The sequence below is a fragment of the Homo sapiens genome, chromosome 2, assembly GCF_000001405.40.
Source record: "Homo sapiens chromosome 2, GRCh38.p14 Primary Assembly".
In the NCBI taxonomy this organism is placed as follows: Eukaryota; Metazoa; Chordata; class Mammalia; order Primates; family Hominidae; genus Homo; species Homo sapiens.
In genome coordinates, this window is record NC_000002.12 from 144,205,753 (window position 1) to 144,231,156 (window position 25,404).

General features: G+C 35.4%; 1 protein-coding gene across 64 annotated transcripts in view; it reads right to left on the reverse strand.

Annotated features, from left to right (window-relative positions):
• QTMAN (queuosine-tRNA mannosyltransferase) overlaps window positions 1-25,404 on the reverse strand; it is a 395,002-nt gene that overhangs the window by 267,685 nt on the left and 101,913 nt on the right. For 48 of the 64 annotated variants that reach the window (NR_164800.2, NR_164799.2, NR_164804.2 and 45 more), the window contains 2 exons: window positions 5,763-5,827; window positions 2,851-3,052 (listed from right to left, as the gene is read on the reverse strand). The exons of 1 other annotated variant lie outside the window; for it this stretch is intronic. Coding sequence is in view for 44 of the 63 variants with exons in the window: in NM_001376325.2 (NP_001363254.1) it covers window positions 2,851-3,029 (179 nt within the window). In the remaining 19 variants the exon portion in view is untranslated. 15 more of the 64 variants (XM_047445841.1, XM_047445843.1, XM_047445842.1 and 12 more) reach the window with 10 other exon arrangements.

The window sequence follows — 25,404 nt, forward strand, 5'->3', positions numbered from 1 at the left end:
GATACCTAGTTTAGGGTGCAGTCTAAGAAAGTAGAAATGCTTCATCCTGGAACGAATGATTAACATTTCATAACCCAAAAGTTAATGCCTTCCCTCAAGCTCCACATTCAAAACTTTTTTCTGTATCCTGTGAAGTTTCTAAGGCAAAGCTATAATATAATCTAAGAATAACAATAACTATTGACTACTTTTGACAAAATAACTTGTTGAGCTTTCGTAATCTATAATAAAACTAAACAGCTCTAACATGAATCATGATATATTCTTTTAGTTGTCAAGATAAAGCAGAATCAAACTGATTAATTAGGCTGAAGCATTTATTCTTTTAATAATAAAATACTTTTCAGAGAGTAAGCTTATAATAGCAACAATACATGTTCAGAAGCTGAGAAAAACACCAATATGTATCTACATTCAAAGTCTTTCTCATCAGACACACTCGTATTTGTTCAGAGTATTTTGCATAGTAGGCAATATTGGTGCTTAATCATTTTACCTTTATGAGTTTAATGATTTCATGCACTAAATATACAAAAAGAGTAACAACTGGAAAGCAAAAATTTTTCATATCTTTAAAAATCTCCACAGAGCTCAGACTTATTTAGTGTAGCAAAAGGTTACTCTTGCACTTCAATCTAGGATTGAATGCACGCATTTGTAAACTTAGTATCATGCTATCAAGTTTTCATGCTACTGCTATTTTTCTAAAAGTATTCAAAAAAGTTACTTGGTAAAGAGTAGAGAAGTTATCATTGCTCAAATATAAGTTAAACTGGTGAGGCATGTCTTTGGGTTAAAGACTGATTAGATTAGTATAGTTAACTGCAAAGGCTAAATGGCATACCTTGAGAGATGACAGATACCATTGTTAGGCGGTGGAGGTTATGGCTATCGCAGAGTAAGGCTTTATATCACCATCTTTCAGATATCCACCTCCCAAATAACTTATCCTCAAATGCTGTGACACTTACCCTCAAATGCTTCAGGCTTCAAAGAGAGTAGGGAAGCCATATGCACAGAAGTGTTTGCATGCTATCACACACATATATTTGTGATACAATAATGTAATTCTGAAAAACTGCATAATCAAAATGAAATCAAACAACAGATATAGAAATGGCTCATTTTAATGTTCAAATCACTGTAGAAATTTATTATACTGAATGGCACTGTTAAATGAAAAAGTGCCATAAAGTCAACTGGATTACTTGACCTTAAGTAATATAATACAATTGGTGCTGCAAAAACACAATTAAATGAGATGTGAAAGCAACCATAAACAGTCATATTTTAACACAGCAATAGTCTTATCATTGCCTTTACAACTTTTATATCATCATGTTCATTGAAATTCCTCATACTATTAGTGAATCAACAATATTCACTTAGTGATATCGGAATATAAAACATTAAATCATGTAAAGAAGGATACACTTTAAATTCGAAAAAAATACAAAATTCTGAATACGCACTAAAACAGCATTTTACCTTTAAAATCCTAAGCCATGTAACTGGAATGCTCACTGCTATTCCATCTGACACTATGCATTCTCAGAGACGATACATAATTTTCATACAGAAAATCGTTACTCTCTGAATCCCTCAAGTTCCTACTAGGAACAGCAAGCTACATTTAAGTCACAAGCTGCTATGTCTCCTGTGGCCACTTTAGAAGCAGCAGATGGGTAGAGGTACTGGAGGCAAGATGGGCATTGGAGCTTCCAACATGCCCTTCCTCTAAGAACCTATCTGCTCTAACTCCATTCATTATCAGCCCAGAACTGTTCATTCCTGCCCAAACCAATGCAGTCCTACACACAGGCTTATCCCATTATTTAAAAAAGTATATAACACTTAAAGTTTTATATCATTTGTGTTAATAAACGGCAAGAACATCAGCTATGTTAACCACCATAGGATAGTCTTCCACGATTTAACCATCAGGAGAATACACAGGAATACATACAAATGGAGAATAAGGAGGAAGAGATGTTCAAGGGGATTCCATCCTACCTGTTCCCTCAGTAAAAATGTAATGAGTATTTACCTCCATCTTTTCAGTGTGTCCCATAAGACTCTTTTATTTTCTAAATTATTATTATTATTATTGTTATTATTATTAGGGATGGGGGTCTCACTCTATTGCCCAGGCTGGAGTGCAGTGGCTGGCTCACTGCAGCCTTGAACTCCCAGGCTCAAGCAATCCTCCCACCTCAGCCTCCTGAGTAACTGAGACCAGAGGCACATGCCACTGGCCCAGCTCATGAGACGCTTTCTAATAGGTCCTCCTAGTTCCTACTTCCTAACAAACCAGAATTCAGAATTGAGTTCTGTGCCCCTCAAATCTACTCACCCTTCAAGAATAAGTCAAAGGTTACCAACTCTACAAAGCCACTTCCAGTTTGTCACAATCCAAATCAACCTCTCCATCTTTCACCTCTCATTGCACTTGCCTATCTCTACCTCAACAGACTTTAAAGCCTTGGACGTATCCACCTTTCAACTCTGGTTCCTAGTACAGAGCAGATACAATGAACCAAACTAGAAGATCTACTGTTCTCTCAGGCCAAAAATTGTTACCCATACCCATACCCCTATACATAATGAAATCACAAGACAATGAGAAAACACATATGGTTGGTTCTAAATGAAGCTTCTTTCCTACTGACCAGGTGTCCTTAGAGGATGAGTATACTCCACTGCTCTGCTCTCTCTAAAGAAATATCTACTATAGTCATAATAACCAATTCCATAGTTGGAGAAATTCTCAAAGATACTGATGGAGAAGCAACATCCTCATAACAGGTACTTTTTAAAAAACGCTGAAAATGCATCCTGAGCTCTAATTACCTGTAATGCTCACTGATGGGAATGGTCTGAGAGAAATATAAAGCAGATGTCCGGGCTCTCCAATGCCATTTCTTTGCAGGAAGGGTATAAACGACACAGTCTCCTAACTCTTCTTGAAGAAGATCCACCAGCTGTTTATGGGAGCCTCCATAGAATGCTTCAATGATGAGGATACTCATTGGCCCATTCAAACCTTCAGATCCTAAATAACAACCAAAAAATGTATATTTTTTCCATTACATACATGTATAAAATTTTTAATAAAAATAAGTTCAAATTTCATACTCAGAAAATACAAATAATTTAGCAATGTGTTATTTTTCAAAATAGGCTTATCCCATTATTTAAATAAGTATATAACACTTAAAGTTTTATATCATTTGTGTTAATAAGAAGAAATAAAGGTGTCTTTATTTTTCTGATTTGTTTTCCTCATGTCATAAGATTGTCTCCACTATGACTCTTAGTTTTTTCTCCAACATCAGAAAGCTGAAAGCCCTCACCTGCTGTGATCACTCACTTCCTGGTTTGTTCGGCTGTAAGCCTAACTCAGTAATCTCAGAAACTACTTGACTTAGAGCTCTAGTCTTGGACAGTCACTGAACTCATCTTCTAATGACGACTTTCACTTCAAGAGTCCTTCATTTATAAGGCCCTTTCTGGTTCAGAAATTCTGTGATTCTGTAACTCTTGTATTACTCCATCTTTAAATTCATCAGGTATAACTGCCCCTAGTGAATACGTATTTAAAAGAAGGCATATCAACCAAATGCAAATCTCTATTTTCTAGTGTTAAAAACTTTAGGAAGCAATTTCTTGAGACACTACACATACTTTGATCACTTCCCCACACTTGTCAATGTATCACCCCAAAATGGAACACCAAAACAATGTGGTAAAGTTGTATGTGTGTGAACCAGTAAGGTTTCTACAACCTTTCTTTAGACAAGCAACCTATTAAGAGGGATAAAGTAGCAATAATGGGGTTACTAAAGACATGATAAAATTTCATCACAGAGAATTAGCTATCAAGCCATTTTTCATTTGAATATAATTTTTGTTAATGTGCTCAGTGAAATAAAAAGATATCTATGAACATAAAATCTCTAATATACATCTCAAATTATATGTTATTTCCTGTAAGACATAGGGGAAAAACATCATTCCATGCATAAATGCTATATTGCTTAAAAAATATTCCAGATGTTTGAATTTTCCTTTATGACTTAAGTAAATATCACTCATTAAATAGCATAATGCTTTTCTTAATAATGTTGTTCCACAAAATTATTAGTCTCAATGACTCAATGATGTTCTTCACTAATAAAACTACACTTTGTTCAAAGTAATGGCTACTTAAATTGCATTTCAAAGCAAAAAGGCTTCCTTTTGATGTCTAAATTTTCCAATGAGCATTTGGGAGGATGGGGGAATATAAATCTATATATTATGTGGGCGGGGGGGGGCTGTGGGGGACTGTGTGTGTATATTTCATTTATATGCAAAATAAGAATCAGTGGTCGTCCTCAGATGGAAAAGGCATGAATCCTAGGATCAAGGACATACATGTTTGAACCTCAGCTCTGTCACTTCCAAGCTGTATGACCTTGGACAAGTTACCTAATTTTGTAGGACTTAGTCTCATCATCTCCAAAATAGAGACAACAGTACTAACCTCAGACATGTGTTAAGATAAAATTAGAAAATGCATGTGAAGCACAGTAGACTACAAATAGCAAGAAGGTATTTAGCCCATCCCACCATTAGTATAAATCACTCTACTTAAGTAGAAAGGATCGCTTCAAATTTTCTACCATTTTAAGTTCAGTAATTTTCAATCATGATCCCCTACCCACCAGGAATAGATGAGGAAAGTGGATATACATATGTGTTTGAAATTGCAGTGGATGTTTACCCATTCCTTGTCAGTAGCTTGCATTTTAAACATTAATTTGAGAGCCCTGCAGGTTTTGTGAGTAAGAGGTAAGTTCAGAGTCCCAGCCATGCAGAGTTCATGGTCCACTGGAGACTTCTGCTCTAATAAGGTAGTGTTCAATAAGTTCACAGACACCCTCTAGGTTCAACAAAGTGGTAGCCATTAATCCTTCAAATGATGGAAATTGCTAGAAAGTAACTGAAAGAACAATAAAAGGCAATTTTGAAAATTATACCAAGGGTTTCAAGACAGAATATAAGCAGTTTAACATTAATTTGCTTACTTGATCACATCGTAGATATCTACCATCTTGCTTTATTTCCTCTGACTTACTCAGAGGAAATGCTAAGGTGTATTAAATATATGCCCTGTATGTACTTAAAAGGTCTCTAAAAGGCTCTTGTAAAAATGACCTATTTCCCCAAGTGATGAAATGTGATATAAACCACTCTAAAGAATATCTCACTCATCTAACCTCAAAGAAAGCAATATAAATATTGGAAAAGAAAACTGCTTTCTGATTCTTCATCATCTTGTCCTTTTCCATGATTAATCTAAAGTACATATCATGATGTTTCTTATGGGTCTGGTTCACGAGTTATCTGCAAATTATCAGCCACTATGGAGGCAGTACATGTAGATGCTCCTATAGATTCAAGACGCTCAGTAGGCAGAACTGAACACTAAGCATGTGGGAGGCTGAAAAACAGAAAAGGGGAAAAAAAGATTATAGCTATAGTAGATTTCCACCCCTCTGACAGCTCAGTAAGAAGAGTGAAATGTACAGGTTTGAACTAGCATTTACGTGAGCATTTTTTCTGCTGGCCAATGGGTGTGCCTGCATTTGGGGTGTTTTTCTAGGGAAAATAACTATGTCCTACCATCTCTGAAAACTATACTTAGTGGCTTTGATTCACGGAAATTTGTTCTGCTTGTTTTGTGGAGACAGACATATCCTGGCAGTTCCCCCACTTACTTCTATTGCAACTTTTGCAGCAAGATGAAAATGCGTTCTTCCCTATGGTCTTCTTGAAGCACAATCTGGAAGAAAGATGATTCCTATTAGATACAAGTAAATGGGGAGAAGCTGGTATTTAAATATATGATTCAAACCAAATGGCATATAGCACATTAAAGAACAGTTCAAATACTTTGGCTGAGCTTGAGTTTTGTTTTAGAAAACTGCTTGAAACAAATAAGCATGAGGTTGAAAAAAGAAAAAGAAAAAAAAAACCACTTCACTGCTATGGTGGAATTTGCTAAAATATAAAGGGAATATACTAGTTGCCCATTTCAGCAATAGTCAAAGAAAGCTACAAGTGGTCACCTTGATACTACAGATGTTCAGAAGAAGCATGTAGGGTGAATACAGACATTTTTGCACCACTAGCAAAGGCTAATAAGGAGTGAGTACTTGGAAGCAGCAGTAATAGGGCCTCACTGTTGAAAGTGCTAACTCCAAACCAAGGACAGGGTTTCCTTTGTAGAAGGAGGCTGTGGTCAAGTGTTTGCTAGAAGATGGCAGAGAGCCAAATGTCTCCTATTGGTGCCTGAGTTTATGAACCTCTTAAAGCATTATCACAAGTACTACCAGAAACCTTAAATTATGAAACATTTAAACTGATCACGAATACCAGAATTAGGCTGGGTACGGTGGCTCACGCCTGTAATCCCAGCACGCTGGGAGGTTGAGGTAGGTGGATCACCTGAGGTCAGGAGTTCGAAACCAGATTGGCCAACACGGTGAAAGCCTGTCTCTATGAAAAATACAAAATTAGCCAGGCATGGTGAGGCATGCCCGTAATCCCAGCTACTTGGGAGGCTGAAGCAGGAGAATTGCTTGAACCTGGGAGGCAGAGGTTGCAGTGAGCCGAGATGACACCATTGCACTCCAGCCTGAGCAACAAGAGCAAAACTCCATCTCAAAACAACAACAAGAACAACAAAAACAACAACGAAAGAATACCCGAATTAGGGATGTGGCACTTTAAAAGGAAGAAACAACAAAAAACTTAGTTTGGAAAACAAATACCAAACAGAAAACCCATGTCCTTTCTGCATGGCGCTCAGAATAGTATTATATGACATTAAGAAAAGAGTAAATGGCCACTCCATGCTTGCTCCCTGAAAGAGCATATAAAATATTTCAGATAAATTTTAATCAATTTTTAAGTTTTTCTGCTTAAACAAGCTTCAGTTAAAGAAAAACTCACTTCTTCAGCACAATTTATTCCCCAATGACACCAGATGAATGAAAACCTACTATACTATTAAAGCTTTTTGAAAGTTTAATTCATTATCAATACTATGATTTAATGATACATGGTTAAATGCTAAACATCAAATTTGGCAATATAAAATAAGTCAAAGTGATAGCTGTGACATAGAAATTTCATACCACTTCAAATTCTATTTAAGATCACCAGAAGTCAAAATGATCTATTTAAAAATTGTCTACCTTTTCAAAAATGCATATTCATAATCGAAAGGGGATACAATGTGAAAATATCAATAGTATTTCATACAAACATTTTGACCAAAATGAAAAATCACCATTAGCATCATCCCAATTAAAAACTAATAATGCATTGATAAGATCACAGAGAACAAAAGTAGCCTGAAACCAACGCTATGAATATTTTTAAATTTTTATTAAAACTTTTTGTCACTGTACCTGCAATTATTTTAGACTTGACCCAATTTCTTTATTCCCTAAGCCATGATCATTTTCAAGGTGAACTACATTTTTGTCTACCTCCTTTAGCATTTAGAACTGCTGTGGTAGTTGAAATGTTTTTAACAGTATAGATATTAAAAATCTGCAATATGCCAGTGATTTACTGAAAAGTATATGCTAAATATTAAGTATATCATGTCAATTAAAAAAATAAATTTTAGTCACACTGAAACCTATAATTAGCTTTCATATATGACGTCAATTTAGTTACCTATAATATTCAAATCATTTTCCAACCAAACACCCAGTAATAATTTTAAATCAGAGGAATTGTTGTATTAATATATTCCATAGACACCTTTCTGTTATTAGTTAGTTGTAGGAAGGTATAGTTTCAGTGATGATGGTTTTAACGGTTTTGATCCCACACACATGAGAAATTGATTCCACAGGCTAATCCACATATGGCTTGATACCTTAAAACTTCAATCAATTGTTGAAAATATAGTTTTGATTTACCTATATGCAATATTTGGAAACTTAAGCTTGTTAAAGCAAAAAACAATGGGCTTAAACACTAAATGGTTTACTTTGGGGAAAGTGAAACTTGAGCGGTATTTCTCAGTAGGTCATCACAAGTTTACCTGGTATTTTCTTACTGACCCTTTCTCTTCCTTCCCTTCTGCACCTCCACCCACCAACACACCCAGGTTCTATATAAAAAGCAACCAACAACCCAGCAGAGTAAAATAGGGCAGGGGTGAGAAAAGTTAGTATTACCTTCCAGCCCACTCACTTATTTTAATGATTCATCACGGAAACCCCAAGTTGTTAAAATATACCTGAAATCTCATTAAATAGTAAAAATAAGCATGAAAAGATCTCTGCTTTAAAACATGTGACCAGTGATTCCCCTAACAGAATCTATTAAGAGTGTGAAGTAAAAATACATTTTGCTAAACAACTTTCCTCAAAGTAATGTACTACAATCAATTATCATATGGGAAAAAAGAGACAAGATAAATATATTCTACAAAAAAGTTATTTTTTTAAATTCTTCTATAAAAATCAGGCATAGCAAATTCATCTTAACCTCTAAAACCTGAATATAACCTCTAAAAACTGAAATATAATCTGGTATCAAATGCAAAGTAATAATTTTGCAGTCATAAAACTCTATGCACTGAAAATATTCTACATAAATTTAAACAAAGTTTGGCTAATAGAAATGAATCTGCTTCCGGAGCATTAGTCTGAACTGCAGATAACTAACACTTGATGGATACTGATCATTATTCCATTATTTGGTTAGGAGACATACAGTCTAATATTTATGTTGTAGTTGTGTACTACCATATGTACTTAAATAGCAACATTTCGCTTTAATTCTGGGTTCAAACTGACAAAGATGTGGTAAGCTAATAATGTATACCCCCCTCAATGCCATGGATATGCTAATCTCTTCCTCTGATTTTTGTGTCTTGTTGTAGAGACTAAGAACTGAGAATTCATGCATCGAAACCAAGATTTGGTAGGAAAACTCATACGCCATACTTTCTGTGAGAAAATTTAAAGCTATTTTCAAATGTGCTTTTCCAATTATATGAATTGCAATGATCTTTTAAATATATGCTCTTTGCAAAGTTAGCATCTTATATGTATTTGTGATAATTTAATTTTCCCTAAAAAACATTTCTTTTTTTGTTGGTTTGGAATTCAACTTTCTGCTTAAAAGTATCAGTCATGGCTGGGTGCACTGGCTCATGCCTGTAATCCTAGCACTTTGGGAGGCTGAGGTAGGAGAACTGCTTGAACCAAGGAGTTTGAAACCAGCCTGGGCTGTTGTGAGGCTCCATCTCTACAAAAAATTTTAAAAATTAGCTGAGTGTGGTAGTGTGTGCCTATAATGCTAGCTTCTCCAGAGGCTAAGGCAAGAGAATCACTTGAGCCCAGGAGTTTGAAGTTACAGTGAGCCATGATTGTGCTACTGTATTCCAGCCTGAGTGACAGAGTGAGGTCCTGTCTTTATTTTTTAAAAAAAAAAAAATATATATATATACACACACACACACACACACACACATATATATATATACACACACACACACATATATTAGTAACTTATTCCAGGACTTGAATTAGTAAAGTGTCTTGGTTAAAACTCCACAAGCATCAAATGCAAACTCAGCAAATAGTTACTGAGTACTTAGCATGTACTAAGCACGTCATGTACTTGTTTTCAAATATGCACAATTTCCACAAATAACTGGATAAGTATATATTAAAAGTTCAATATATTATTGTGAGGTTATATTCCACATTATATTAAAAAATTACAAGATTTTTCTTTCTGTGAGAAGCTGAGTGGTTTAATTCCACTGACAAAATATTAACCCTCTTTCAATTTTTTAATGCTATTAATTCCATGAATGATTTCAAACTATAAAAGCAGCAATGAATTCGTTCTACTGAATACTACAAATATTTTTAATTTGCCAACATTCACAAATGTGGCAGCATATTTATGAATCAATAGAAAGTTTTGCACTGGAATATCATCTCACCACTCATTTAAAGTATCGCATTGCCCTTTTAAGTAGGTCTCCATGCTACCATACAATCTTGTTCCCACCACACCATTCTCCTTAAGCTAATCACAAATAATCTTTCCAAAATGGAAATGTGACCATAAAATGACATGCTCAAAAACCTTAAATCACCTAAGGGTAAAATCCAAGGCCCAACACATGGCAATTAAGACTCATTTCCTGGCCCCTTCCTTTCTCTTCACTACAGCCACATTTGGCCTTCTCCCACTTCAATTCCTTTTCCCCAACTTCCCCAGACTCTACTTGGTAGCAATACCAAACACCCACACTCCCAGAGCTGTTTTAGACTCTTATAACTTCACACATTTATCTCACCTCCATCAGCCTTCTCTCTCTGTTCAACTAATGAACTTTTGTTAAAATTTCTGCTCATGAATCACCATTTCTATGAAGCCTTTCCCTGAACTCCTCCTAAATATGACTTCCTTTATACTCTGTATAGTAGAATTATACTTGTTTCACTGTAGTCACACGTTCTGCTTCTGCATGCAGCTGTGAAAATCTGAAAACTGGGAGCTATGCTATTATTTTCCTGAAAGTTGTCTCAGGACCTGACACACAGCAGACAAACTAGGTTTTTCTGGAGCTGAAGTGAAAATCAGGGGGACACAGGAAGTTGCTTTCTTCTGCCTTGAAAGTAACACTGGTTTCACTTAACACAGGTTCTCAGCAACAAGTGTCAGACAGCACTGTACTTGATACTAATGATTTCCTATTATTCCTGAAGTCTAAACTAAATCAAGCAGCAAGTATATCTGGACACATTTTATTATGTTCTCTTTCAAATACTGATTCTTTTTTATTGTTGACAGAAGCAGAATTTATGGGAAATAATAATTTTTTCCATATAGATATGTGTTTATTTTAACCTACCAATACAAGAGAAGTAACACCGATTAAAGAGATGGGAGAAACAGAATAAGCAATTGAATTCTAGGCCAAAGTGCATTTAATGGCCTAAGAGAATATTTGTAAATTTCATAAATTTTGAAAATCATCTGCAGTTTCTTATTCTGTTTGATCTATTATCATCCTAGTTTAATTTGAGAAGTGGAAGTAGGATAAGAAGCCAATTCCCTCACCATCAATCTAGAGAGCCCATTCCACATTTAGTAATTAGGCTTTTATTTAACAGAGAAGAAAAAAAGACATTTTTAAATACTTTCTGCCAACAATTATTCTTTTTATAAAAGTTTGACAAGATGAATAATGTATTTCCTTCTCAAAGATGGCTTTTCTCCAGAAGTCTTCCACCTTCTTGAAATGGGCTGTAAACCAGCTCAGTGGGAGAAAACTGGGCTCCCTGACCCATTCGGATACGAATGCCCAAGCAGAGAAGTCAAGGTGTGTTCAGAATAATAGGTGCAAGGAGTGCTGATACCATTGTTGAACCACTTTTCTTTTACAGAATACAAAATATAAAGAATATCGGCATCATAGAGTAAGTGACAGCAAGACTAAAATCCAGGTCTTCCAACTCCATATTCACATGGCATCCCATTATACTTCACTGCAGGCACAGGATACAATATAAGTTAAAAAAAACCCTCCATTTTCTAGTCTTTGAGTTTTAGGATTAAATAAAAATGTTTAATAATTATTAATATTTAAATGATATATATATAACACGGTATATGTTTTATATGCTTGTGGAATATAAATGTCACTATAAATTAATATATTAATTGCATACAATATTTAATAATGCCTCCTCACTTGTAAAACCAAGACATCAATAATATAAGTAACTGAATATCATATAGTGAAATACTTCAATTTTTTTGTTAGAATCTCTTGGGATTCCTCCCAGAGTCCAACATAATCATAACTCCTCTGAAGATATAACCCTTATTCTTTACCCCTCAGCACTGGACAGTCACCTTTTTGATAGAATAATAGGTCTTAAGAACTAGGACTGGAGGGGGAAAAAAAAACAATACTGAAGATTCACATGCCAATAAAGGTTTGGAGTAGAAGGTGAAGAAGTCAGCCACGTAGCCGCATTCAGTCTAGCTCAAAAATTTACTACTGTTACCATCAAGCAAAGTCAAGGTTCTCTTGACAAAACAATCTGTAGTATTTCTGTGTACTTATCACACGTAGGATATATTTATACAAGTAATTATTTAATGTCAATATCTCCACTGGACATTAAGTTCCACGGAGACACTTGACTAGGTCTGTTTTGCTTACCATTGTTATCTCTAGCACTCAGCAAACAGAAAGTGTTCAATAAATGTGTGTTGAGTCAATGAACCGTAAAACCCTTTAGCAATGGCCGTGACGATTTCTTCCTAATTCATTCAAGAGTTGTACTATTATCAGACATAAAAAATTACTTCTTCCTATCACTCATTACTATTTACTCTCATAGGCAGAATTTTATGTACAGATTGTATTACCATGTAAATATAATAGGTGGCATCTAATTCTATTTAAAATTTCACCCCTCAATCTAAGGAAAATTGTCTGCCCTGCTGAGGGATTTAGAAACTATGTTCCATGCCATGGCAAAGCATCTTCCCCAACCTGACTGGAGTCTACAAGAATGTTTAATTCAAAAATAATCATGTCTATGACCTGGAAGGAGTCCACTGGCTTAATCATTACACTGGCATTTTTTATTGGACAGAAACATTATCTTGCTACCCTACACTGGCTTCTATGCCAACATTTAACTCAGACTGAGTTTGTGCAGGGTAATTATAAATATACACACCAAATGAGTTTAAAATAAGATGACTAACATATTCTTAACTATACTGATTAAGAATACTCAAACATGTTTTAATAACTTAATCCATATTAACTACAAAAGTTATTGAGAAGTTTCCCTCCCCAAGTGGGAGACACATTTTCAGTTAATTTTGAAACAGAAATAGCAGTGTTACTCTAACATACAAATATTCTCAACGTCCTATTTGAAGTACAGTAACACAAGCAAACATGGGTGGCATTCCCTTGATGAGATGAAATAAATGTCACTGAGTATAAGGTACTGGATTTAGACTGGATTTAGTCACTTCTAATGAAAAATGAAAAGGCCATAATCTCACAATTCAATTTGATTTATCTATGAGGGAAAGTATCTAAAAAAAAAAAAAAAAAAAAAAGCAAAATCCTAGCATCTCAGGAGGTGAAAGAATATCAGGTAAACATTTGGGAGAAGAAAGAGGAATTTCCATAAGAGACTGAAGAACTAGAAATAGATATCCTTAAATGGATCAACCTTAGACACATTTGATGTTTTTAATATTCATTTTATATCAGTGAAAAATCACTTTGCAGTAACAGACCTTTTTTTTAATTCTTCTTCTTCTTTTGAGATGGAGTTTCACTCTTGTTGCCCAGGCTGGAGTGCAATGGCACCATCTCGGCTCACTGCAACCTCCACCTACTAGGTTCAAGTGATTCTGCTGCCTCACCCTCCCAAGTAGCTGGGATTGCAGGCACGCACCACCATGCTTGGCTAATTTTTGTGTTTTTAGTAGAGACGGGATTTCACCATGTTGGCCAGGCTGGTCTCGAACTCCTGACCTCAGGTGATCCACCCATCTCGGCCTCCCAAAGTGCTGGGATTACAGGCGTAAGCCACTGTGCCCGGCCTACAGTAACAGACTTTTTAAATAGTGTTAGGAAGTGTGAGGTGAAGCCAGTATTAGAAACTGTCCTTTAACATCCAAATCAACAAAACCATGTTTTAAAGCTGTATCAGACCAGGCACAATGGCTCATGCCTGTAATCCCAGCACTTTGGGAGGCCAAGGTAGGCGGATTGCTTGAGTCCAGGAGTTTGAGAGCAGCCTGGGCAACATAGCAAAACCCCCGTCTCTACAAAAATACAAATAATTAGCTGGGTGTGGTGGCACATGCCTGTTGTCCCAGCTACTTGGAAGGCTGAGGTAGGAGGATCTCTTGAGCCTGGGAGGTGGAGGTTGCAGTGAGCCGAAATCATGCCACTGCACTCCAGCCTGGGTGACAGAGTGAGACCCTGTCTCAGAAAAAATAAATTTACAATAAAATAAAAGCTGCATCAGTTAACATATTTATTGATACTGCTCTCATCTCCAACATTCTACATGAATACAGATAGGTATTCAAAGTATTCAGTAAAAGTACATTTTCTTCTATTTATTTTTTGAAGGAGTTCTTTTTCTAGTCACTATATATATTTTTAATAATCTTCTGATTTGCTAATAGTTTAAGACACGTGCTGACAGTTTACAAAGGCAACACCAGAAAAACTGGACAGAGTCTAGAGATCTTTAATGCTAAAGTTTAAAAAGCTCAGAAACCCAGTTTAGACCAGGGCTGAGTAAATCTGGGACTAATAGATGTGGTAATGAGAGCTGTATCACTATTTTTAAATATCACAAGAGGCATATTATTAGCTACCCACTATTATAAGAAAAAGAGTCAGTCTGTTAATAATAGATTGGGATTTTTTTTTAATCCTGAAGATATTTAGGATTGAAACTATTAAATAAAGAAAAGGTATACATAGACAACTGTGTATAATTTCTAGAAGGTCTACTATTGTCCAAAGTTTCTGCAGAGGAAGCACGGGCTTTCCCATATCAACAGCTTGAAGTTTCCTGACTGGAACAAGCACTGTGACTTTTATCTATTTAGTGGCCTTGCCTATCTCTTTATCAACTGGTTTTTCAAGGAGACATTCCAATGATACAAATATTTTGTCTAATGAAGCAGAGACCCTATAGCCAGAGTATTCCTTACAAACTACCCAAAGCTGCACACTGCATCCTCACCATCTCTTAAAGTAATTTCACACTTTGCAAACAGTGTTTTCAAACAGAGTAAAGTTACTTAGGAGTTAGTTAATTCCCCCTTGCATCTCTCTCCAGCACATATATACACCATATATGGGATCATTAGTCTGTCTACTGGATTAATCAGCATTCACAGTTAACAAACAGCCTGAATTATTTTAGAGAGAATTTATAACTCAAACTACTAAAACTAGGCATATAATATCCTCTATTTTCTATAATAGTTGTTGAATTGATCTTGATAGAATTGAAGTATCCTATTATCCTCTTGCATTACCCTTGTTCAATGTACCCACCTTGTTTCCAAACTTCACTTGCAAGAATTAAATTTAAAATATCAGATAAACCACATCATATTTTTTGGAGTAAATGCCTGCTGGGGTACAATGTGTTACCTCTCCCAGGAGTACTTGTATGTTACAAGAGAACAACAGGTGATAGTGAAATTTCAACCATCTGTACAGTAGATGCAAAGAATAGTTTGTGAATTAAAAAAGGACTGTTCTCATGTCTCCAAAATGTAGACTGAAAGCTGCTACCCAATCGACTAATACATATGGTTAGCTTTGCTTTAAAGTATTAGAATATTCTATCACTTTTCATCATAATACAAAAAGCTTGAAAACTATGCATATCTTTTGATTCAGCAATACCACTTTTAAGGATTAACCCTGGAAGTTACCAAAAATCTTTACTGCAGTCTTTCCCCCAATTAAAAACAATCAAAATATCCTACAAAAAGGGATCTCATGATTAAATGATTAATGATCAAAAAATATAATGAATATATATTGCCATGGGAAAATGTTTACACTATTGCATGACTGCATGAAATGAATATATAAAAACATATTATGAAATGAATATATCATAATACGAGAGAAAGAGTACATGCACACACGCAAACATAAATGATCATTTGAGGTAAAACTGGGAATCATTTTGTTTTCCTCTTTGTGCTTCATTTTATTCTTCAAGTTATCTTCATTGAATATGTTTCAACTTCAATTAAAAGAAGCTACAACATTTTTCTTAACTTTAGGGAAGGAGGCCAAATTGTTTGATATAACAAACTACTTCCCAATTACTGAAGGCGTCCTCCCTTCCAGGAGCTTGCAAGTGTTTTTCAAATTATTATAACTACTATTGCTATAAGGAAATTCATTTAAAAACTAATCGACAAGGGTTAAAACTAATAGTGCTATAGCGATTCAAAACAGCATCATTTAGTTTGCAAATACTGCTTGTTTAAGTAATATATGAACTAAAAGTAATTCTCAATCTTAAAATGTACTTGTTTATTAAATAGTTGTAAACTGATCAAAGTCTCTACTTACATATAAGGAATCTGAGGCTGTACTTTGACAGTATGTTAGAAACTAAAATAATTATTTTGGTACTTACAGTTTTGAAATGGAACATGAAGAAGTAAAATATAAACTCAAAGTTTTTTGTTTTTTTTTTGAGACGGAGTCTTGCTCTGTCACCCAGGCTGGAGTGCAGTGGCGTGATCTCGGCTCACTGCAAACTCCGCCTCCCGGGTTTACACCATTCTCCTGCCTCAGCCTCCCAAGTAGCTGGGACAACAGGCGCCCGCCACCACGCCCGGCTAATTTTTTGTATTTTTAGTAGAGACGAGGTTTCACCACGTCAGCCAGGATGGTCTCGATCTCCTGACCTCATGGTCCGCCTGCCTCGGCCTCCCAAAGTGCTGGGATTACAGGCATGAGCCACCACGCCCAACCTAAACTCAAAGTTTTAAACTTCAAGTAAAATGCCAAAATGTTATGCTTTGATAATTAGGTATGGGTCTTGAAATAAGGGGAAATATTTAATTAAGGTGAAGGAAATTGAAAAGGACTTCTAGTTGCACACTTAATTTCTGAAGTGTCTTGTATTAAGAAAGCTGGAGGCTGGGCGTGGTGGCTCACACCTGTAATCCCAGCACTTTGAGAGGCCGAGGCGGGCGGATCACAAGGTCAGGAGATCAAGACCATCTTGGCTAACACGGTGAAATCCCGTCCCTACTAAAAATACAAAAAAAATTAGCCAGGCATGGTGGCAGGCACCTGTAGTCCCAGCTGCTCGGGAGGCTGAGGCAGGAGAATGGAGTGAACCCAGGAGGCAGAGCTTGCAGTGAGCTGAGATGGCGCCACTGCATTCCAGCCTAGGCGACAGAGCGAGACTCTGTCACAGAAAAAAGAAAAGAAAGCTGGAAAATGTTATTGTATAATCATCCATATGTATTGCACATGTTAAAAAACGGAGCGAGGACTGATTGGATAGTCAACTAAAAGAGAGAGAGATTTGCATTTTAAAAGACTTCTCATAACCACTCAGATTTGTCCTATATTTATATACACGTAATATGTGAATGGAAAATCAATAAATATTAACCAATGGCAACTCAGACTTAGTAGAGAAATATTTTTAAAGGGAATCTCCAAGCTCTAGTACTTTTTACAATCTAAACAACATGTTTCATTTTCAAATAATATGAAATCACTCTGTTCCTGGAATTGTTTTCCAACACAACCATTTCATCACATTTCATTTTTAAACCACCCATTCCAAAAAACCTAACTTACAAATCTAGCAAGAAATCAAACTACTAAAAGTATACAAATAATTAAGAAGTTATTTCTAGAAAACAAAAAAAAACTAATAAAATATGAAATATATAAATACAAAAACTAGACACAATCTTATTTTATCTATTTAGATGGGTATGAAGACTATGCTTATCGACATATAATTTCCCATATTTTAAAATAAGCACAAACTTGATATGAAAAAGAAATCCTCCTCTTAGGAAAGCACCATGTGGCATTTTTTAACTTTACTACCACTTTGTTGACTCTTTGTCCCAGAGCAGATCACCTCCAACATTAGTACTCTGACCTTCTAGAAAACTGACAGATAAAGTTTATAGTGAGAAAAAATGAGCTTTTATGGGTTTCCAAAAGGGAATTCTTATGACACTAAAAGCCATATAACAATATTGATTTGATAACCAACTTTTTTACTGCCCAATTATAGACTTAAGATTTCTAGAAAAATATCCAAGTGAAACTTGACATAAAATACAGTAAAAAATAGTCTTGAGCTCATGACAGTCTGGAATCTCTTTACAAACTTTAAATATACATATAAAACGATTTTTAAAATCAGGTCTTCTTTAAAGTGTTGAGAATCCCAAGATTTACCTTTCACCTTGGGCCTGACTGACCCTCCTCCTGATACTTTTGTCAAAAATCAATTCAGTTATAGCTTGTACCTTTCTGAGCAAATAATTTCCAGGCCTGTTTCTAGTTTCCTTCCATCCTAAAGGCAAATGTACAACGTACAGCAACAAGGATTATTTTCTTGTAAAACCATCTTCAAAAATCAATTAGAATACTCAAAATATTCTATTTTCACAAATGAAAATAAGTTGCTTACTGGAATGACAGTCTTCCATTTCACTGCCTTAAAAATTAAGCTGGCATGGATAATAAAAGTGTTTTCTGACTGGATATGCTTGGCATTCAAATGTTTTTAAAACAAATACTAATCCTTAATTAGATTTCACAGGCACAAGCTATAGAAAATAGAATTCTTTTTTATTTTCTGAGAGAAATATTAATGATTTGATATCATAAAAGTTATAACAACAATGCCATGGCTTGGATAAACTTATAAACAAACCTGTACGTGAATGTTTTGTATCCTTTTCAGCCTAATCTCTACCATTCATTCATTCAACAAATACTTATTGTGCCTACTAAGTGTCTGCTCATCATTGTTCCGCATGCTTGGGGATAAATTAGGTAACAAAGCAAATGGGACTCTTATCACAAACAATTTCTTTCTAATTGGAGTAAAAAGACCAGCATCAAATTAAATGTATGTCAGATGAGGGCACCTATAAAGAAAAATAACACATGGTAACAGAGGATAGGAGCTACTGAGGGCTGGTGTGAGGAGGTTATTTTATACAGGGTTGTGAGGAAACACCTTGCTGATAATGAGATGACATCTAAACAGAAATCAGAAGAAGGGGCGAGGGGATTGGGGAGTATGTAGATCTGGATCTAAGCAACAGGCACAGCAAGACCCTGATAAGACACATGCTTGGTATGTGCAAAAAGTAGGAAGCTCTGTGCGACCACAAAACATAAACAAATTTGCTTTATTCAACAAGCATTTATTAATTATTACATTCTAAAAATTAAAGTAACTGTTTTGTGATATTATCATGACCCAAATATAGTCTCGGGTCTCAGGCCTGGATATAACTTTAATACAGAATGATAAATGTAGAACATTTGAGCAGGGTCTCAAAGAGGGACCAATAGCAAGTTATACGAATAGTTCAAGAAGGTGAACCAAGAGCCCAGGAAATACAGAGTTGAGGAAATGTGGCAGACATCATTAGCTCACATAACTATTCAAATTCTCCTTTTGCTTCCTTCTAGAATTCAAGCTAAAATATTTGCAATATTTGATCTCCCAGGTGCAGCAAGTGGGAGCATGTTCCACAGACCACCAAAATGGTATAGGTAGAAGGAAGACTCAAAATTGGAAAGCACCTTCTACTGGGAGCCAGTACACTGCTGCACACCTCTAAGCAAATCAACAGGCCACAGGGCATCTGACCCACCCCAGGCCTCTGGTATCAGACCTTCTTTCCAAGCTCTGCTGCCTCCAGCCTCCCTTATCATCTTCAACATGAGCTATTCATCAGCCTTCTAACTCATCTCCCTACCTATAGCTACATTTAACATCTTCCATTCTTCCTCTGAAATTTATAGATATCTTGATGTCACTTTTCCACTCAAAAACCTATACTTTTTCTAAGAAATAAAGAAAATTATTTAACAAGAAATAAGACCCCTTACAATTTGGTTCCAAGCTCCATTCTAGCCTCAATTTCTGTCACTCCCACAGACACACTATTACTCGAAATACTAAAACCATTCTATTTTATCAAACACTCCATACACATTCCTACCTGCAAATACTGCTCCTGCTGTTTCTCCTCTCTGAAACCTTTTGCCTTCATGACCTGTCAAATTCCTACATATAGACATATAGTTCAAGACTCTATTCAAATTTCATCTCATCCGTGAAGACTTAGTCAATTACTCACCCATATTCAGCTAGTCGGAAGTAATTACGCTTTCCTCTGTAGTGCCCTAAATTTTGCTTTTACCCCATTTACAGCAGTCACCACAATCCCTCTTATACTATAGTTATACAGTATATGTGTGTGTGTGTCTCCCAATCAGATCTCAATTCCTTGGCAGCAAAGTTTATGTACAATTCATGTTTGTAACTACTCATAACCCAGCAAAGTGCTTTGTACACAATATTCAGTTAATGTATTCTGAATTCTCATCAATAGGCTATAATTAGATCACTATCTTATGAGGAATAAAACAAAAGAGGTATTCCTGAATTTGAAAATTACAGTGTCATCACAAAATGAATTGTTCAGGTATTACTATGGTATTCAGATCTTCAAATAAATCCTAAATCATGGTCAATATCATTGAATAGAAAGATAAAGACAGTAAAAAATAAAGTGTGAGTGTTTATTGGACAGCATGAAATACAGAGGAATGGAGAAATGCAAAGCATAAAGCTACCCATGTTAGAAGCATTATCAAGGGATACTTACAATTTATTTAACAAACATTTATCAAGTGCATACTGTGAGCCAGATACTATACTGATCACTGAGAATAAAGGTAAAAATAATGAGGGAGGGCTAATATTTTACATGCACTTTTTTAAGTGCAAAGTGTTGACCTTCATTACTTCCAAAAGTATGACCAAAAGGTCTGCTTAAGGGCCAAATAAAACTACCAATACCCAATTCTGAGTTCAAATTTAGGAAATTATTTTGCCTACATTGTGATTATGTAAGAACCCTTCTCCTAGTACTGCTTTTGAATATTAAAAGGGCTTCCTTTATTCTTAGTGACTATAAACTGCTCAGATAGAAAATTTGAGTTCCAGACACTTGAATACATTCCCTGCTTTGAATTAAGTTCTATCCATGCACAGACTGTTTTAGTAATTAAGGTACAAACAACCCTGCCATCATCAATGAAAAGAGAGGAATTTATTAAAATAGGGTTATATAGGGGATGTTGTATGGGAGATAGTAGACAGTTGTTCATTTTGTCCTCTGAGGTTAAAATAACAGAAACTGAATGGAAATACAATAAAGAGAATTTAACTTAGACACTGGAGGAGTTGTAAGATACTGATTCCTACCAAGTCTGAGCCATTCCTTCTGCAGATTTTAAATGAAGAGGTAGTCTCCATCCTTCTAAGACAGTCAAGGGCAAAACAAGCAGATGTAAAGATGACCTCTTAAGATTTCTTTTGGACATGAAATTCTATAGTACATAATTGTTTGCTTGTGTATTAAAAAGTATAAAGCTGCCCGTCTAAGAATTTAAAAACATATATACTCAAATGTCAACTAATGCAAAATCTGCTTTAATATGTCTTTAGCCATATGACGCTTCCAAGGACCTGTAAATCAGCATCAGCAATATAAATTATCAAATGACCTGTTTGCCTTTTGAATAAATAAATTCCGATTGCCTATTTCTTTAAAAACTGAGATCTTAACATATAAGTACTACAAAATATCTTTGTTTAAACAATAGTCTATGCATAGAGTTAAAAGCAATCACATTTCTTATTTACTCATGGAATACCCAGCCCCCAACAAACATTGGTACTAAACCATTTTGAGGACTTACCTTTTTTTCAAAACAACTTGGACATTATTACACTGATGTCCCCTTAGCAATAACAAACAATTCCACAAAATTTAGTCCACAAACCCTCACAAATTAAAAATATTTTAAATGTATAAATGATTTATACCCATAATATTAACAAATATATTTCTTAATATCCATTCATTCATTCAAGAAGGGATTATTGAGGTTCAACATGTAGGCACTGTGCTAAGCGTAAAGACACCAAGATGACCCAATTACAGTTCCTGTCCTCAGACATGGAAACATAACAATACCAACACATATGCACTAACTGTTCAAAAGACAACCAATAGCAAGTTACTATATAAACCAAGTATCCAGAGAGTTTCAAAAGTCCAAACAACTAACTGTACATAGGAATTAAGGAAGTACAGCAGATAACTTTAGAATGGCTCATTCAACACTCATTCTAATTCCCATTCTCCTTGCCTTCCTCCAAAAGAGGCTACAAAGCTAAAACACTCATTATCTCACTCTAGGGGCTAGAAAGCGAAAACATTTGTTACCTCATTCTAGAGGTGGTTATATGGGACATACTTTTGACCAATGAGAATTAGACAGAAGTCCCTGTGAGTAAACATCCCTTTCTAAAGAAAAAGAGAAAGTATCCATGGGAAGGAAGTTTCTGAGCTCTCCCTTTGTTCTTCCTGCTTGAAAGTGAAATAAGAGGCAAAAGTAACATGCTAAGGATGGTGGGGAAGCAAGACATTACCTGGATCCCTGATAGTATCAGTTACCTGTGAACTAACTGCCTTCTGATTCTTATGAGACAAATAAAACACTAACTCATTTAAATTAATGTCAGTAAGATTTTCTACTACTTGGAGCCAGAGGCATTTTTACCGTTAAAACAGAGATACTTGAGTTAGACTCTTTATGGTTCCTCCTTTCTTAAGCTATAATCCAGTCCTTACTAGCTAGAAAAAAAAGAATTTTGAATGTACACTTTTACAATTTTCTGTAATCTGAATTACTTCTATAAACATGGTCAAATTCCTCCATATAAATCCATTTGTTGCATAGTTATTACAAGATTTTTATTTTAAGTGGAACCTTCAATCCCTCAAATCTATTAAAATAACATTTTTCTATAGTATGGTATATAACATTCATATATATAATACACACATATAAGTAAATAGCTGAAGGTTAGGAAGAAAGGAGAAAAGAAGGAGAATGGGGGGAGAGAAAACGGGAGGGATCTAATTTGTGTGAAAGTGTAAACTATGCTTTTCAATTTTGTGGGCACCTTAGAAAGTGGCTTAAGAATAAATGAAAGGCCAGGCGCAGTGGCTCATGCCTGCAATCCCAGCACTTTGGGAGGCTGAGGCAGGCGGATCACCTGAGGTCAGGAGTTCGAGATGAGCCTGATCAACATGGAGAAACCCTGTCTCTACTAAAAATACAAAATTAGCCGGGCGTGATGGCATGTGCCTGTAATCCCAGCTACTCATGAGGCTGAGTCAAGAGAATTGCTTGAACCCGGGAGGCGGAGGTTGTGGTGAGCCAAGATCGCGCCACTGCACTCCAGCTTTGGTGACAAAGCAAGACTCCATCCAAAAAAAAAAGAATAAATGAGAGATTACAAAACAACAGTATTTTTTAAATAGGGAAGACTCCACACATACACTTGAAATCAATGGTTCTGTTTTAGAAAACTTTTTGAATTTGAAAAGTGTATATCCCAACAAATACTTTGTGTCTAATTTACCACTAGCATTATTGTATTATTTAATATTCCATCTATCTCTAGTCATCTCCCTAAGGTAATAATAACACAATAATCATTCTCTATGTATGTTTCTCTCAGACAAATTTTAAATGTGTACTATTCTTGGGATAATTCCTATTGTATAGTGCTGAAAAGATTCATTAATTTCAATCACCATCAACTCCGTACACTACATATACTTGTTCTGCCTTTTTTGTTGAAATATATTTCACTGTGGCAATTCAAAGGAAAATTACACATTCCAAAAACATTTGAGTTCCTCTCAGTTACCCTTTCAGTGGTTCAGGGTAATGATAGAGTAAAGAACCATGTTCTTCACAGGCTTTCCTTTTTATCCCCCAGTTTGGTAGGATTTCAACTTCAAATCTCTTATGCCAAAAAGCAGTGGGTAATGTCTAATGCTCTTCTCAAACAGTGGCTTACTTTGGAGGGAAGGAGAGTGAGAGTCAGGAGCAATCACTCATTCCTGCTTCTAAAGGATCTTAGCATATAGGATAAGCAATCTCTTACTCTATTTTCCTAAAATAGAATTATAGAAACATATTAAGTTAGGCGTGGGGGGAAGAAAGGAAAACAAATAAGAATTAGAAACCTTTCAACTCTGGGTATAGGTAATTCCTCACAGAATGAAATTACTGAGTTATCTAGCCTAAATTGTCACGAAGGTAAGTCAAAAAATCCACATATTCATAAAACCTGTAGTTTATATATTCCTTACCATCAGTCACAGGTAGAGGCTTCCTCTGTAAAACAGAACAATGCTACATTCTTTTTCCTGAAACCCTAAGAATGGGATAAATAAGCATAATAACTATAGTCACATAACATAAATGCTTTCATTTTAAAAGCAGTATTCAAAGACAATCTATGAAAATCCATGTGATATAAAAAAAATTCAGAGAATGACAAATCTCCCTTGTTTATAATATCATCTCAACTTCAATTTCATTTTCAGTTATCTCCTTTCAAAAATATATATCTGGGGTCCCTATATGATATGAAGTCCGTTTTCTCAGGCTCACTTTTATTTGGTTATCTTTTTAGGCGCACTAAAGATTGAGTTTACAATAAACTGAACAGACAGCGTACAAAAGGCTTTTAGAACTATACCATATGGTCCAGGGAAGGGAACAATCTGGACGATCCCCACTTCAATCTGCAGGCTTGTCCACCTCTATAACACATTATACCACTGTAATAAAATATTAAGATGAAAATGTAAAAGCTAAAATAGTCTATCTTTAGCATTACCAGGCAACCACACTTCCAAAAATTTACTGATAAACTTAATAAACATTTACTTTAATTTACATTCTGAGATTTTGGTATGCAACACCAGGCATACAAACCTAGGCCACCATTCAATAGAAACAATATTTCAGCAGGGCTATGTGTGGGTATTCAACTTATGCTTCAGAAATTTAGAAGGAAAAAAAAACACTTTTACAGGGGCATATTGGCAGAGGCTGATGTAACAGATGACACATTCTTGGAAATCAAATAAAAGCAATAGGGAAATACCCATTGTTGCCTGGTGAAGGCCTAATCACATGGACACAGCTGGAACCAATGTAGATCATTCATTAATAAAATTGTATTGTAGTAGCCACTTTTTGATGCATTTCAATTGCTGCTTTAGCCAAATCCCTGAATTTCTTTGTTCAATGTTAGTAAGATTGTTTTAATGGGAAATATGAGAAGATTTAGGACAGGGAAAAAAAACCTGTTCTCATGCTAAAAATGAAGCTAACTCAAAAAGCTAAATGTCACTTTACCTTGCAATCTACTTACACTATCAGCAGCTTAAAATATGCAGTGTAAACCTAAAAAAGAGGAACTCATATGGTACTATAGATAAAAAGTGAGCAGTGTGAGATGCCATAGAAAACATATGAAATACTTGTAAAAGTATTCTACAGAATAATATGTCAGAGGGTGGGAGAAATTAAAACGTATCAAAAATTAAGAGGAAAAATCAAACAACTGAATTAACATGTACTCTTTCATGCAATACTATCTATTGAAT